Source organism: Homo sapiens, chromosome 5, assembly GCF_000001405.40.
Source record: "Homo sapiens chromosome 5, GRCh38.p14 Primary Assembly".
Lineage (NCBI taxonomy): Eukaryota > Metazoa > Chordata > Mammalia > Primates > Hominidae > Homo > Homo sapiens.
Window position 1 is genome coordinate 72,629,261 of NC_000005.10, and position 17,380 is coordinate 72,646,640.

General features: G+C 40.9%; 1 long non-coding RNA gene across 14 annotated transcripts in view, besides 1 other annotated feature; it reads right to left on the reverse strand.

Annotated features, from left to right (window-relative positions):
• Nucleotides 1-17,380, reverse strand: part of TNPO1-DT (TNPO1 divergent transcript) — a 245,434-nt gene that overhangs the window by 58,146 nt on the left and 169,908 nt on the right. For 3 of the 14 annotated variants that reach the window (NR_186521.1, NR_186520.1, NR_186522.1), the window contains one exon: nucleotides 9,932-10,142. The exons of 10 other annotated variants lie outside the window; for them this stretch is intronic. This is a non-coding gene — a long non-coding RNA (TNPO1 divergent transcript). Of the gene's footprint in view, nucleotides 1-9,931; nucleotides 10,143-17,300; nucleotides 17,370-17,380 lie in introns of those variants that run through there. One more of the 14 variants, NR_186519.1, reaches the window with a different exon arrangement.
• Nucleotides 5,222-5,722: an enhancer, noted in NCBI's record as "OCT4-NANOG-H3K27ac-H3K4me1 hESC enhancer chr5:71930309-71930809 (GRCh37/hg19 assembly coordinates)". NCBI's record gives its function as "activates a minimal SCP1, AML or CMV promoter by ChIP-STARR-seq in naive H9 embryonic stem cells {active_cell/tissue: H9 hESC(naive)}" and the evidence as "EXISTENCE:reporter gene assay evidence [ECO:0000049][PMID:30033119]".

Consider the following 17,380-nt stretch of genomic DNA (forward strand, 5'->3'; position numbering starts at 1 on the left):
CTGAAAGTTAAAATGGAAAGCTTGAACATCAACAATATGTCAGCCTGGTATTCACTTACACATATTCACATGCATGCACTTGAGCAAGATGTGTCCAATTCTGGAAAAATTGTGCTTTATAGTTTGCAAAAAACTTTCATGCCCATCCTTACAACTGTGAAGTGTATGGGGCCAAGAGAAGGAGTGCTGGTGGAAGAGGCAGCTATAATTACCTGTATTATCTTCTTAGGTGAACCTAAGGCTTGCATAAGTAAAAGTGATTTTTTCCCATGGTGTCTGAGCTAATAAATGATACAGTGAGGAGTATAACTTGGGTTGTCAGATCCTTAGTCCAGTTACCTTAAACCCTACCACTCATTTTGCCTCCGTCTCTAATTTTGACTTTTTCTGCAGCCTATAATCCTGCTGGAGTTTTCCCCTTATAGAAATAATTGAGCAGACAGATTTGAAAAAGCCCAGGGATTATGCTCCTAGAATTTGAGAGAACTCGCACACACACACACACACACACACACACACACACACACACACCCCACCATGAAACAGAAAAGATTTTCTCCTTGTGCCTAACTCCATGGTAAGTCATAGAATTCTCTCTTCTCTCCAAATTTAGGTTAGCTGTGCCTCCTGTGGGTCACAAGCTCCCTTTTCTTCCTCCAAGATAAAAATTGAAGCAACTCTGCTGTATGCTGAAGAGCTTAAGGAAGGAATCTCTTAGCCACCAAATGGAAATGAAAGCTCCAACCCAACTCTAGTATGTTAATATATATCCAGTCCCCAGAAGTTCTTCAACCCATATGCTGAATTTCCTATATATAGGGCAGCATGACTCTTCCATACAAGGAATTTTTAGGATGAAGAGAATATTTAGGTACAAGAACACAACCACCTCTGAAAGAGTTAAGTTTGTTCCAAAAGCAGAGAACACCATGCTGGTCATGCAGTGGTGTGTCTGGCAGCAGCAAGCTCTTGCGTGAATTTCTGAGTGTGAGACTTAGCCGAGAGCTAGTTCTAACTCCTTCTTCAGTTTCAAATGCTACACATAGAAATAAGACTGTGGGAGCTATGCCCCCACTTCCCCTTCACCACCTGTTTCTTGATGCAGTGGCTTATTTTCAGAGCCTTCCCTGCCAGTAGGGCTCTCTGCATGGACTCCCTCTGTGGCAGAAGGCAGGGGCATTTTTCACACTGTGTTTTTCAAGCTGGCACTCCCAAGAGAAGATGAAAAATTGATTAGCTTTCCTAAGTATAGCTGGAAATGAGTGATGCCAAGGGGCCACAGTGTGGCACCTGCCGGCAAGTGACACTTTGCTGTGAGAATCTTTTGACCTGGTTATCATGACAGCCCCAGAAACCCAACTCCAATGTCAGTGCATCCCAAGTCAATGGCTTGAGAGCTTCTATGGGGCTCATTTGTCACATTCACCTCTTAGCTGACTTCCTTCTTAATAAGGAAAAGCAAGCCAGCATTGCTGTGCTGCCATGTGCGTTGGAAGGCAGTGGGAGCTGCAGAAGTCCCCTTAGGAGCTCCGTACTTGCCTATCATATAGAAGAACCACATTGAAAATTGAGTGTATAATTCATATTTAATGTATAAAATAATTTGACATTTATAAAAGCTGTTCACATTTCTAAGCACTTCTACAATCATTGTGCAATAACTAGAATAAGTTTGATAAAGTTACAAAATCAGACTCCCATCCCAGAGTTCTCTCCAAATTATACGTCACAATTTCTACCTAATCTCCTCACAGTCATGTTAGAACTGACCTGATTGTTAGAGGCTAGCGTGGCTTTTATTGTTGTTGTTACGTTTTTTTCATACTTGTTAACCTATAGTTAAAAATGTAGCAACCCGATAGTCAGACAACATCATTCAATTATAACTTCCCGTGCACCATAACAGTCTTTGAATTCAGTTGTGTGTGGCCCTCAGCACAGATGATTTGGTTGTCCAAAAACATTAGAACATTAGAACCTGAGAAATGCTATTGATTATGGTACCAGTTTATGATGTTTTGACCATGATTTAGGATATAGCTAGTTTTATGCAGAGTTATTTAGATTTTATAATTGAATATTTTACTTCTCTGTTAGGGAGAAAAATTCACAGCATATTAAGCTAATTACAAGGCAAATACAAATACCCTGACACTTAGGGTAGAGAATTCATGCAGGAAATGCACCATCAGTGAAGTTACGGGAAGGAAGGTGCACCCGATCGTGCTGCTGTAGACATGGGGTGGCCTGAAGACAGGACCCTCAGGAAGCAGGCAGAGAGGACTTTATTTTTTCCTACCTGAAGTACTTGCATATGTGGTAGAATTTCCTCTAAATTTACTATGCAGCATCATTTTCTCTATATTCCATTTATTCTGCCAAATCACTTATTCTTTGTATGGCTTTGTTTTGAAAGGCAGCTCCCAATTTCCAAAACAGTATGTACACACGAAGCAATATTCACAAACAGCCACAACCAGCTTTCCTCCATATTGGTTCTCACCTCCCAAGTTCATCCAGGAGAATTGCTGATAATAATCAAAGAAAAGGAGTTTTGTAGAATCTTCCATCTCAGGATGGAGAGAAAGGAAGATGCGTATTACAGATCAGGGTCCCAGGAAGCAGACTCTGAGGTGGAGATTGGGGTGCAATACATTTACGTGGGAGTGAGAAAGGCAGGACTGGGCAAAGGGATCAGCTGGGCTGTGATGCAGCCACAACAAAGGCCTCAGCCAAGCCCACAGTTGAGCTCTGGAGCTTGACTGGCCTTGCAGAGTTGTCCTCAGTTGGAGCAAAGGGGCCAGGGTTTTATATTGTGAATACCGCCGTATCAAGCAGTCATGGGATACAGGCTGCCTCAGGAAATTGAAACGTAGCCTTGGCTTAGGCACCCTCTTGAGTTTAGGCAGACCCTGGTACAGGGGCTCAGCTGTGAGCTATGGACAATCAACACTCCCAGCAGCTGCAGGAACAAGTGCTTCAGTCCTGAAGGGGCGGTGAGCAGCAGTGACTACTGGGAGCTGATTCCATTCGCCCTCTTTGGTCAAAGTCTCCCCCTTCTGCCTAGTTGGAAGTCCCCCTTGCTCTGTTGCTTAGCTAGGAATGTGACCAAGTAAAGTTGGGTTAGAAAATATTCTTTCTCTTTTTAAACTATGCAAGAATTTCTTAAGAGGACCACTTTAAAGGGCAGATGAGTTTTGCTTATGCAAAATATAACTTGACTTACCAAATGCAACTGCGTAAAGAGAACATTCCCAGAGACACCTCCATAACACAAGGCTGAATGCACACTTCCACGTACATGGACCGTGCACTTTGCATGATGGTTTTCTACAGAGGACTTTAGCTTCCAGTGAGATCAAAGCTCGCCCTTCTTCAGAGCAACTCATGGCCTGGCTCTTGAGCAGCTCTGGGATGGAAAATTACCATGCTCGACTGAACACAATATTCAGATTGATATACTTGAAAAGTCACCTTTTTAAAAAAGTAGTGTTGAAAAATCACACATTTTCTACCATAAGAAGTGAAAGCACATATACCTTTTAAAAAACTTCACAGGCTGAACATGGCTTTGGGGTCACAAACTCAGTTTCTAAACCTGGCTGTGCTATCTATGAGTTCTGTGTCCTCAAAACCAATCCCTTATCCTCTCTGGGTTCCAGTTTCCTTGCCTTGTTAGATGAATTGTAAAGATTGGGGGAATAGACGTGGAAATGGTATGTAAATTGTAACACACAATTAAAATGTCTCATTACACAATGTTAGCACTGGGAAGAAGCTTAGCAATCATCTTGGCAAGTCCTTCAGTGCCCAAATTATCAACAGAGTCCCATGGAGGTCAGAGGTCTTGCATATCTGGTCAGCGGCAGAGCGGGGCCAGCATCCAGCCCTCCTGACTCCCCAGCTAGTACTTTTCCACAACACAGTAAGTCTGCTTCTTATCCCTCCTCCCCACCTAGTTTCTCCTGCTGCAACATAAGGAGACTGTGTGTGCTGCTCACACCCATAGAACCATTGAGAGGATTACAAAATGGCATCATGTTTGCCAAAACTTGGAGCCTATAATCTGGAAGCAAGACAGTCTTCAGATCTGAAGAACTATTGTGCAAAAATTGTTACCAAAGTCATCATGCTGAAATGCATCTTAGGTCACAGTAAAGAGGAGAAAAGGAGTTCATCTTGTGTCAGTAATAGAATCTCTGAGCACGCACACCTATTTGTGTATGTGTAGGTAGTCACAGAGAGGGAGGCAGGGAAAGGAGTGAAACGGAGAGAGAAAGAGAACCTTTTGAAAAATCAACTTACTGTACCATATATTTTATATTATTTCCTGTCCTACTTATTTAATAAGTCTAAATTGAGACTTTTATAATTCCCTTGCATCGTGGATAAGCTCTCAGCATCTTGAAGTCCTGCAGGGCCTGCAATTTTTCTGCCTCTCTGTAGGTACTCATTTCCAAAATTTCATTACCATCCCACATGTGAGTCATCCACTCCCATGCATTTCATTTAAAACATCCAGCACAATCTGGGGGACAGAAGGAACAAGCTCAGAGAAGGCCAAGTTTATGCCTTTGGTATGTGGCGGAGTTGTCAAAGTAAAATAGGAGAGGAGGCCCAGCAGGGCTCCCTCCCAGGCAGCCAGCAGAAACTGTCAGCCTCTGATTCAGCACCCACCTCCCCTCCTCCTTTTCCCAGTAGCATGCCCTTTTCTTTTGCTGTATGCTTCATATGTGGGCAGTCTGGGGGCAATACAGTTGGTAAGAGAAAACAAAGATGAGAAAAACTCCTCTAGCAGAGAAATAAAAACTTAAGCTGAATAGTACTGAGAAACAATAACACAGGCTACTACTCATGGACGAGCGCCTCTGATCAGGAATCAGGAGACCCAGGTCTAGCCTTGGCTTTGCCATCAACTGCTCATGTGATCTGGCAAGTTATTTAGCCTCCTAGGGACCTCAGTGTCCTCAATTATCAAATGAGGTTGGGCATATTTGTCCACATCGTCTGAGGAATTCAAATAGAACTCAATTTTCAGAGCCAACTCAATTAGTGGTTGTACAAAAAGCATCAACATCCGCAGTTCCCCCTCTCCTTTCTACAGAAAGACTGGTAGCATGCCACCCAAAAATACACACAGTGCTACCATTAAAAGGCATGAGTGGGAAGGGAATGTAATGAATGATTTCTGTAAATCGCACTCACACCAGCCTTATCTTCTCTCTGAATGTGAATTTATGATTCCTGGCTGGCCTAATGTGATATACATCCACAGAGCAACTGCTTGCCTGTTGAATATCCAATTGAATGACTGGACTCTCCCAGAGAGCACTGACCACAGGACAGCAGGTTTGCTTGCCAATAAAAATGATGCAGTATGAGGGGACACAGGAAGAAGCACCAGTTAGGAGAAGCATTACAATTAGTACCAATCAGGAACCCAGCAGGAAGCAGAAGTGTGCTCATACGAGGATGATCTAAGGAGAGACTGTTTACAATAGTGCAGGCAGGGCATAGGGAAACTGTAAGGGAAGGTGCAGAATCCCAGGGATAGGAACAGTGGAGCTACCACCATCCCTAGAGCTGAAGGAAGGAGGGGAAAATATAGTGACTGGAATTCAAAATGAGAGAGTAGTGAAGAGAAGTATAATGGAAAATAAGTTGTGTTTTGTCCAGAGAAACAGCCAGCCTGAGGTTCCTCATAGGGAGGAAAGCAGGGAATCCCTACCCCAATCTTCATCTCCTCATCTCTGTAATCCTCTACTGGGACCCCTCCCTTGGCCATGACCAAATGGAGCCCATTTTTTGTGGTCCAAGCAGTCATCCTTCTGGCCAGAGAGCAGGGTAGAAAGAGAAATTCTGGAAGAACAAGATAAGATATATCCCACTCTATAAAAAGAGAAGCTGCCCAGGATGCAAGGCACCGAGATTTGAGTATTATCATCTTCTCCCTCCCTTTCTTTCCAATCTAAAATAAAATAAAATAAAAATATTATTTAAATAATAATAAAAACATGCTAAAAATAAAAACTTGCTGGATAAAATCAATCAAGAAAACGTTCCTGGAAGTAGATTTTAAACTACATGTTTAGAAAGAAGGGGACATGGCTAGGGGATTGTTGGTAAGGGATTACTGATGTTGCTGTCATCTTCCACATAGGGTTTTTTGTATTCAAAGGCTGGTGTCCAAAAGCAGGTGAGGCCAAAAGGAAAAGACAAGGTAGCCTACATGTCAGGGAGCTGCTATTCCTGTGCCCAGGATCATGGCTATATGGAGGCAATTTGTTGATTTGGGAAACAGAAGATGGGCAAATCCTGTTTCACCACCTGTGAGATCAAACATTTTCTGGAAGTAATGGCTCTGGACTTGCACAGGCCTAGCTGTCTCAGAGTCCTGGCTCTGCCACTTAATAGCTGTGTGACCTCAGGTCAAATTCCATAAGCCTTAGCTTTATTTGACAACTGGGGACACAATATTTTCCCCACCTCCCCCCACAACTCCACCAGTATTGTGGTGAAGATTAAAGAAATAATTTTCCCAACTATTTAATCTTTGACAAACCTGACAAAAACAAGAAATGGGGAAAGGATTCCCTATTTAATAAATGGTGCTGGGAAAACTGGCTAGTCATATGTAGAAAGCTGAAACTGGATCCCTTCCTTACACCTTATACAAAAATTAATTCAAGATGGATTAAAGACTTAAATGTTAGACCTAAAACCATAAAAACCCTAGAGGAAAACCTAGGCAATACCATTCAGGACATAGGCATGGACAAGGACTTCGTGTCTAAAACACCAAAAGCAATGGCAACAAAAGCCAAAATTGACAAATGGGATCTAATTAAAATAAAGAGCTTCTGCACAGCAAAAGAAATTGCCATCAGAGGCAACCTACAGAATGGGAGAAAATTTTTGCAATCTGCTAATCTGACAAAGGGCTAATATCCAGAATCTATAAAGAATACAAACAAATTTACAAGAAATAAACAAACAACCCCATCAAAAAGTGGGCAAAGGATATGAACAGACACTTCTCAAAAGAAGACATTTATGCAGCCAACAGACACATGAAAAAATGCTCTTCATCACTGGCCATCAGAGAAATGAAAATCAAAACCACAATGAGATACCATCTCACACCAGTTAGAATGGTGATCATTAAAAAGTCAGGAAACAACAGGTGCTGGAGAGGATGTAGAGAAATAGGAACGCTTTTACACTGTTGGTGGGACTGTAAATTAGTTCAACCATTGTGGAAGTCAGTGTGGTGATTCCTCAGGGATCTAGAACTAGAAATACCTTTTGACCCAGCCATCCCATTACTGGGTATATACCCATAGGATTATAAATCATGCTGCTATAAAGACACATGCACACATATGTTTATTGCAGCACTGTTCACAACAGCAAAGACTTGGAACCAACCCAAATGTCCAACAATGATAGACTGGATTAAGAAAATGTGGCACATATGCACCATGGAATACTATGCAGCCGTAAAAAAGGATGAGTTCATGTCCTTTGTAGGGACATGGATGAAGCTGGAAACCATAATTCTCAGCAAACTACCACAAGGACAAAAAACCAAACACCGCATGTTCTCACTCATAGGTGGGAATTGAACAATGAGACCACATGGACACAGGAAGGGGAACATCAGACACCAGGGCCTGCTGTGGGGTGGGGGGAGTGGGGAGGGATAGCATTAGGAGATATACCTAATGCTAAATGATGAGTTAATGGGTGCAGCACACCAGCATGGCACATGTATACATATGTAACAAACCTGCACGTTGTGCACATGTACCCTAAAACTTAAAGTATAATAAAAAAAAATTTCCTGTATGAATAAAAGGTATTTCATTGCAAGTAATAACATCTGATTCTGGCTAGCTTGGGGGGCAGGGGAAGAGAAGGAAGGGAAGGAAAGGATAAGGGAGAAAGGAGAGGGGAGGGAAAGGAAAGAGAGGGAGGGAGGGAGAAAGGGAAGAAAGAAGGGAGGAAGGGAGGAAGGAAGAGAGGGAGGGAGAGAAGGAGAGAGGGAGGGGGAAGGGAAATTATTGAAACACTGGGGTATCAATGTTTAAGAAAGATCTTAAGAAAGAGAGTGATGGAAGTGTTCTTATTGCATATAGACCTCAGTGCAGTTCTTAATGATTTTAAGCTTGGCAAATCTGAGAGAGCAGGATTTAGAACAACTCTGGATCCTGGCAGCAGCAGTTGTGCCCCTCTTTCTGGAACACACGGGCATGTGTGGCTTGGCTTCAGTGTTTACAGTCTCTAGCCTCTTCATTCCAAAGGCAAACTCCAGGGAGGGAGAATGTCATTGGCTCAGTTTGCATCAGGTCAATCAACCATGGTCAGGATGGGGAGTGGCCCCAGTGGTCATGTAGTGGACATGGCTGTTGCAAGTCCACCTTTGTGTATCTAGAGAGCAGTTCTGGGGGTGAGGAAATGGGGATGAGCCATGCAGCCCCACTACCCATAGAAAAGTCATAGCTCACAGAGCCCAACACAGAAGTCCTCTTGAGGATTGGCTATTACTATTTCAACAGTTGTGGCAGAGGTAACATTTACAATTTAAGTTTCTTTGCCTTGAAGGTCTTTGACAAACCATCAGCTACAACTGTTAAATTTTTTTTGTTTATTCTATTGCTCTCATTAAAATGATTATAACTCCATAAAGACAGGGACCATTGGATTTCCGTCTCTATTTAATACTTTGTAAATATCCTCATTATTTAATGCTTTGTAAACAGTGGGTGCTCAATAAATGTGGCCTATTCACTAAAACTCACTAATTTGTATTGAAACCAGAGCTACTGTCAGCAAAATGTGCCCCCATTTGCCTTTCCTCAAAACCTAGGACATAAAATCAGCATTTGTTCAACAAGCTGGAAGTTTATAATACACAAAGAGAATTCTTCCAACATGTCAACTTGAAGAAAAATAATTAATTTATCATATTCAGCCCCACCCAACATTTTAAAAATTGTTGAAAGTGGCTTAGAATAAATGTATGTCTGCTGCCAATTCTGATAAAGTTCTGGGAGCTGCCTGGCACTAGGTAGAAAGTTTTATGAGAAAGAGGCTGACATAGAGAAAATGCCACCATCAACTATTAATATCTGGGATGGACACAGGATTGAAGAGAGGTGGCGTATATAATACATAGTTGGTATTCCTGAACCATATTCAGAAATTGAAAGAAATATAAAGAATCAGAATTTACATGGATAAAACTAAGACCAGTTGGAAGTGGGAATGAGATACGTTATCATAGATGCTTTCTCAATTGAGAGATGATTTAGGGATTAATTTAAGATAGATTATGTTAGAGGAAGATGGATTTATATGAATATTGCCTTACTATTACATGTTAGCAACATCATTGTGATTATTTAAACAATAATAGGACAATAGGTGACTGTTAAGATTGCAGCTAAGCAATTTGCAGCTACCCATCCTTTAAAGCAGCAGTCCCCAACCTTTTTGGCACCAGGGACCGGTTTCGTGGAAGACAATTTTTCCACGGATGGAAGGGGAGGGGATGGTTTCGGGATGAAACTGTTCCTCCTCAGATCATCAGGCATTAAATTCTCACAAGGAGGGAACAACCTGGATCCCCCACATGAGCAGTTCACAATAGGGTTCACCCTCCTATGAGAATCTAACGCCGCTGCTGATCTGACAGGAAGCGGAGCTCAGGCGGTAATGCTTGTTCGCCCACTGCTCACTGCCCACCGCCTGCTGTGCGGCCTGGTTCCTAAAAAGCCACAGACCTATTAATAGTCTATGGCCCAGGGGTTCAGGACCCCTGCTTTAAAGTCATGAGTTTCCACATCTAGCACATAGGTGATGATCGTGTATGGTTACATTGTACATAAATTATGCCTAGGTTACACAGAGCAGAAAATTCAAAGGAAAGGAGCTTAAGCAAGATAGAGGTTTACTGTATTTTTTCTCCCACAGAAGTAACAAGATAGACAATGCAAGGCTGGCATGGAACTCCACAGTCCTCAGGAATGCTCTTCGTCTTCTGTCTTTGTGCTCCACCTTCCTTAGCCAAAGGCTTCTATCCTCAAAGCTACCTCATCGTCCAAGACAACTTCTGGAACTCCAACCATCGTGTCTACATTCTAATGAGGAAGAATAAGGAAGGAGAAAATGGCAAATGGATGTGTTTTCCAGCTGAATCAAACCCACTTTAAGTAGTTTTTCCAGAAGTCCCACTCAATGACCTTTTTTTTTTTTTTTTGGAGTTTCGCTCTTGTTGCCCAGGCTGGAGTGCAGTGGCGCAATTTTGGCTCACTGCAACCTCTGCCTCCTGGGTTCAAGTGATTCTCCTGTCTCAGCCTCCTGAGTAGCTGGGATTACAATAGGCATGCGCCACCACACCCAGCTAATTTTGTATTAGTAGAGACAGGGTTTCACCATGTTGGCGAGATTGGTCTTGAACTCATGACCTCAGGTGATCCGCCCACCTCGGCCTCTCAAAGTGCTGGGATTACAGGCGTGAGCCACCACAGCTGGCCGAACATGTCCTTTTTGAAAATTAAACCCAATATAACACTTCTAAAGGAGTCTTTTTAAAACCTAGGGCCTTAGATTTTTCTATTCCTCTTTTCTGGTTATAATTATCAGGGTTTTTTTTCCCCCTGGAGCACCACAAAGCTGCAAAGGACAGGAGTGTTTAGGATAGAACGTACTGGTTGTCTACCCAATCCAGAAGTCATGCAAAGCTGAGTGCAAACAATTCAGAAATATTAGAAGCCTGAATTGTTCTACTTAAGTTTGATGCCCCCATGGCCAAAGCACTGACTCTTGGCACTTTTGATTATCTGAACAACTCAAAATCCACTTGATTTTATTTTGTTAACAATTATTTGGCTAGTATTTCCTTTCCAATGATTGCTTTACAGATGTTTTACAAAGTTTTTGAAGTAGAAACAAATTTGGTTTATGTAGCGGAACATAACATCAGCCAACTGATTTAACTATGGGGCAGAAATTCAGATGGGAATGTTTAAAAGAAATTTCCATTGCCAATTAGTTTTTGAAAACAAATACAATTCAAAATGGTAAATATAAAGAGACACATAGTAAGCTTTGAAAGGATATTTTAGGACCAGCAATATGCAACTTAGTTCTTTTGTTTATTACCACTCCCTCCCCTGCCCCCTACCAAAAATCTTGCTATTAAAATATTTCAAAAATATTTTATTTTCTATTTATTTCCTAAATTAAATTATAACCTAAGGATTCATGTTATTAAAAAGTTACTAATAATTGAAAAAAGATCTAATATTGGAAATAGTAAAATATACTAGCCAAATAAAATAATAAAGGCAAGTAGAAAGCACATAAAATTCCCAGAATAGAATAATCTGTTTGCTTCTTAATGTTCCTAATTCAGTGATTCATAACCCATTTCTAGAATAGTGCTTGTATTTTCCATGAATTCATTACCAATTCATTTTGCATTGCTTTTAGTTTCTTTAGGACTGATGGATCATATGTTCAAATGTAATGTTAAAAGAAAAACCTGGCTAGGCACGGTGGCTCATGCCTGTAATTCCAGCACTTTGGGAGGCCAAGGCGGGCGGATCATGAGGTCAGGAGTTTGAGACCAGCCTGGTCAATATGGTAAAACCCTGTCTCTACTAAAAATACAAAAATTAGCCAGGCATGGTGGCATGCACCTGTAGTCCCAGCTACTTGAGAGGCTGAGGCAGAAGAATAGCTTGAACCCAGGAGGCAAAGGTTGCAGTGAGCTGATATCATGCCACTGCACTGCAGTCTGGGTGACAGAGCAAGATTCTGTCTCATAAAAAAAAAAAAGAAAGAAAAAGAAAAACCTTAAACAAACTAAATTTAACAGACCTTAATTCAGCAAAAAATGATGAATCAGGTAGCCTCCAAATAAGAACAGGTTCAGAGAGGCTCCAATGCTAACACATGGTCAAAGAAGATTTATGGACAGAAAAAAAGTGATGTACAGAAAACAGAGATGAGATACTGAAACAGCCACAGCTGGGTTGGTTACAACTAGGTGTTTGTCATATTTGAACATGGTTCAAACAGTTGGCCACCTTTGATTGGCCTAAACCTGGTAAAAGGTTATGGTCTATTTACACATCCAGGTAGGTTATAGTTCACTATGTACAGAGAAACCTTTACTGAATATAAAATATGTAAGGAGGCAGCTTTAGGCTAAACTGAATTTAACAGTTGCGATTCCTGGCTTCTGCCTTTGCAATTTAAGATGGCCATTATTTAGCCTCGTTTCCTCCAAAGAATCCTTGAAGACTTGAAAATATCATTTTCTCTACCTCATTAATTTTCTATTGAGCAAAGTATCATTCTAAATATACTGAGACTTCTGGGCACTTTTTTTGTCTAAGCATTGCCAGTTAGGCCTTGCCTTCCATTTGCCAATTCAGTTTCCAGGACACAAAAATTCAGGCAGACGTGGTCTGAGATGCCATTTTTAACATTCGTCACATCATGCAATCCATGCATTTTAGAGCTTGAGGGAAACTGAGAGGTTTGAAGATCCATTTGGTATTCTGAGATCTCTGGTCTGACTGTCTTTGAGGTTTCTCTAGGTTTCATTGAATACTTAATCCTTTCCATGGCCTGGACCATATCATCTCATAAACTTTTCAAATGAATAATCCCTGATCTACCTGATGTGACATTTCACTTCACCTTTTGATAGGTGGATTTACAAGAAAGAAATAGACACCATTTGAGAAAATTTTGTCAAAATTTCCCAGCACATTTTTAAGCACTTCAAGGATTTAGTTCAAATGTGACCAAATATCAAATACCTTTTTTTTTTCATAAAATCCTAGAAGCATTCAAAACTATATTGCTATATGAAAGAACTAGCTCCAACATTCATCCAGGGAACCAAACCTATACCATCGTAACTCCTAGGATGATAGAAAATGACATTTAAATCAACATAACTCTAAAGAACTTCTGCTCTCTTACTGCTTATGGACTTATTTTCAAAACATAGTTGTAAGCTATAAACCACTGTGAGCTCCCGCTGAAGGCACAGATACAATTTTCAGCAAATATATCACTTAGACTGAAAGCCAACTTTGTCACAATAGTGCTATTCTAATTCAAACCACAAATCCTTCTCTAAAATAAAATGCTCTCTCTCTTACCTGCAGGAAAAGAAAGTGCATTCTGAGAAGGTTTAAAAGCCATTGGTTTCTAAGCCTCTGCCAGCTCTATCCAAATACCTACCACAAACCCCAGCCCCTCCATGAGGGCCCTACCATCTCTGCTGCTGAGAGGCCCAACCTCATGGACACCAATCCAGAGATACCATACCACACAGCCCTCATAATCCAGTATAAAAGAAGAAAACTATCGTTGTGCATTCTTAGTTACCTACCTAACTTTTGTTCCATGAGATTTTATCTTGATTCTGTATGTAGCACAGAGCACATAGAGATACTGGATTTGTTTTACTTTCTTCATATCAGGTTCTGTGTTCCTTGCCAAGGACAGCAGTTCAAACTATTAAAGGACCTGAAGTGTTACTTTATGAAGTTTCTCACATGGAAGAATATTTAATAAAGTATTTGAATTCTCTCATTCTTTAATATGGGCAAATCAAAGCAAATTGATAAACATCCACAAATAACCACTGACTAGCTTACAACTACTTTGCCCTCCATAATTCTCTCGTTGAACTAAATATAACTGACAGGAGGAACAGGGCTCTTATTTAGTGGAAATGGCTGTTGCTTACAGATTATTTCAATAATCGGAGTGACCCAAGAGCAGAAGAATATTACACGCATGTTTCCCTGGAAGAATTTTGTTTCTTCGTTTTTTTACCAAGGAGTCTAGATGACTGTGTCTAATACCTGGTAAGGAACTCAGGTTCTGGGGTTTAAATACATAAATTCAGATTTCAGCTCCACCACTTCCATGAAGGATATTTCTCTTCTCTGACCTCAATTTTCTGATTGGTGAACTAGGTGCCATCATGATAATAATAGACCTCGTGTGGCTGCGGTTAGGATGAGATGAGAGAAGATGGCCCTGTGGGCAGGGGAGATAGGCAGAGACCTCCCTTCTTTGGCTTCTTCTTTTCAGGTTCTGGCCCCTGAGTGACTTTCTTTTTCCTAATGTTCTCTTAATTGAGGGACTAATTGCAAACATCACAGAGCAGAGAATTGCTTTGTCATAGCAGCATTTCTTCCATGTGTAGCCAGCGGGTCATACAGTGAGCTCATGTGATTTGGCGAGTCTCGCTTATTTCATTCGCAGCTTGAAAGTTCCTTTTCAAATGTGGATTTGCACACGGGCTAAGGTTTGCACTAAGGGAGGCCTTCCAAGGCTCCATTTTGGAGTCTTACCTACGTTCATATTTCTACCTCAAGGCCGTTTATCATATTTATTCCCAGACACCCAATAATTCTGGTTATCATTATTAAGGACCTACCATGTGCCAGACACTCTTCTTGTCCTTGCCTCACAAAATATTATGAGATATGTATTTTTTGTCTTCTTCGTTAAACTATTCTTTTTAACTTATGAGAGAACTAAAACTCAGGAACTTAAGTAATTTGCCCAAGACCACACAGCTAGGAATGGGCAAAGCTGGGCTCAAAGTTGGTTCTAAGTGCAAAGACCATACCTTTTCCATTATGCCAGAGAAGGCAGATAGATTTGAAGTTGCAGCCAATCTGATCAATTAGTGACAGGTGAGTGCTCGGCTAAGCACATTGAGGCTGGGCCTAGGCTCCAGGGAGAGAGTGCCGTTAACAACAATGAGTAACTTCGCCTTGAGCATTGGTTGGGGGAAGGACAAGGGCAATCAAGCTGCCTCCTCCATATCATGCAACCCTTATCCACCGAGTTTCTACTCACCGAGAGGAAGGGGTTAATTTGCCTCCTTGGAACACTTCTTTATACCTTCTAGTGCTTTTCTGTACCTTTTCATCAAAAGAAAGCATCCCCTTTTTTTATTATACTTTAAGTTCTAGGGTACATGTGCACAACGTGCAGGTTTGTTACATATGTATACATGTGCCATGTTGGTGTGCTGCACCCATTAACTCGTCCCCTTTTTAAAGCTTTCTGCTCCCACAGGATAGTCTTTTGTGCAGTTCTCTTTGCTCAGTGCTGATTTTTCTCCTCCTGAGCTGCAGGGAGACCAGAGCAGCTTGATTTCACATATCTCCTCTCAACCAGGGTAACTTCCCTTTCCTTGACCATTTTGTTGTCTAGTTTTTTTTACTTTGGAGCTTAGGTCAGTATTTGGTAACTTCATTTATAGCCTGGACAAATTGCTTAATCTCTCTGACTGTATTTTCCTAACCTATCTTCTTAAGAGAGAGAGAAAGAAGAGAAAGAGAGAGTATGGGTACAGGAGGTAGACAGAGTCTCAGCCATACCTGTACATCAGAGTCATCTGAGCAGCTTTATAACCATGCCCATGCCTAGGCCCCAGTCCAGATCAATTGAGTCAATCAGTCACTGGAGCTGGAGCCTCAGGGATCAGCTTATCAAAAGCTCCCACATGATTCTAACATGCATCCATATAGGGTGGAGAATCACTGGACTACCATTAAATATTAACATGTAAGTCGTTGATTAATATCATCTATTAAATTACCTAGCTGGCTTTGAATTCACTTTTGTGCCTCATATAAGGGTTAACTAGCCCCTTCAAACACTTACCTGCAAGTTTTTAAAAACACAGCTTTGAGACAGCTTTTTAGCTATGTTGGCTTTTTTCATGCAACTATTACATAGTTCTATTTGTGGATTTATTAATTTTCTTGCTTTTACAATGTGTAGTGTTCTGATTTGGCTTATAATTTACTGTATTTGCTATATCAAGTGTCTCTCCAAGTGTGGTCTGTGGACCATCTGCATCAGAACCACCTAATGTGATTCTTTAAGAAAAATGAAAGTTCTCAGACTCACCCATGGCCTACTAGATCTGATTTTCTGGAGGTGGTGCCAGGGAGTCCATGTTTTTAACACGCACCTGCTGCAATTTGTAAGCATGTTAAAGCATAAAGACGACTTGCTGTATTTAGACTGATTTGCATGACATTTGCCATAGCACACACTAGACATGCATTAGAGTTTAGTGAACAATATCTGATCATTGCCTTTGTAAAACATACAAAATACTGACTGTTGCATTTGCAGATAGACCTTACTTTCCTTTTTTACACAGCTTATTTTTACACTTTTATTTAATGGGTAAGAGAAAAACTCTACTTGAGGATAGCTGCTGAGTTTGTGGTTTTGTTTGGTTTTCGGGTACCTCTTTCTTTTTCATCATCTCTGCTGAATCTATAGTCCTTGAGGTCAGGATCAACGGGCTGTTCTCTGCTGAGCTTCTTAGTAAACAGGCTTAACCTAGACGACATTTTCCCTGCTGCATACACCAATTATCTAGGTGTTGGGTGCATAGATAATGTGGCCCTGAAGTCTAGATATAAAAACGGAGGTCTCAATTTGATGTTCCACTCTCTACTGATGTACTCACAGCTTAGCCCTGGTCCCTGGATTCTTTGGTGCTTATTTTTCTTAGAAAAAGCAGCTGGTACCTGGTTAATAAAGCCCAGTCATCTTTAATAGAACAATGGATAAAAAAACTTTTGAATATCTGATATCAAAGCCTCATTTAATATACAAAGCAACCTCTTATTACATTAGTACTTGAGTGACTTGTTTTGGCAAATCTAGAAATCTATTTTGCTGCTTTCTAACAAATAGATTTTGCTACAAAAGCATTCAGGAAATAAATGGGAATTCATCTGTGACTGACTGAAATGATGGCAAGGCTTAACTTTCATAAACCATGTTCCTTGCAAGCAGGAAAGTTTTCCTCCTTGAGCTTTATGACTTTTTTCTAAAATAGGGAGGGTTCGTAACGATGTCAAAGGCTGCCTTTCTCTAGAAGACATCTAGCCATCTCCAAGTACTCCATGAGGTCATATTTTCCTGTACCTAGTGATTCCTAGGATGATTTTGAGTCATTTTTATATTCTTGAACAAAAAAAATGATAATTTTTGAGAGGATTCTCACTTCTCCTTATGTGAAGCAATGAGGCTACATCTTTAACATTGTGATCCATGTATGCTTCCAAACACATTGCTGCTGGCCAGTACATTCCCCAATTCAGAGGCCCCTTGGTTTCAGCTCATGTGCACTCAAGACAAATAGAATCTGGTTTAGGACAAAATGAGCTCATTCTCCTGGACAGAGGGAAAACCCGGCTGGCCAATTCTGGTCCTAATCTCACCCTTATAAGTTTCTGGTTCTTCAGCACAACCATGAAAGCTTGATCTACTGTAGAGTTCAAGTGTCAACTCTGCAATATTA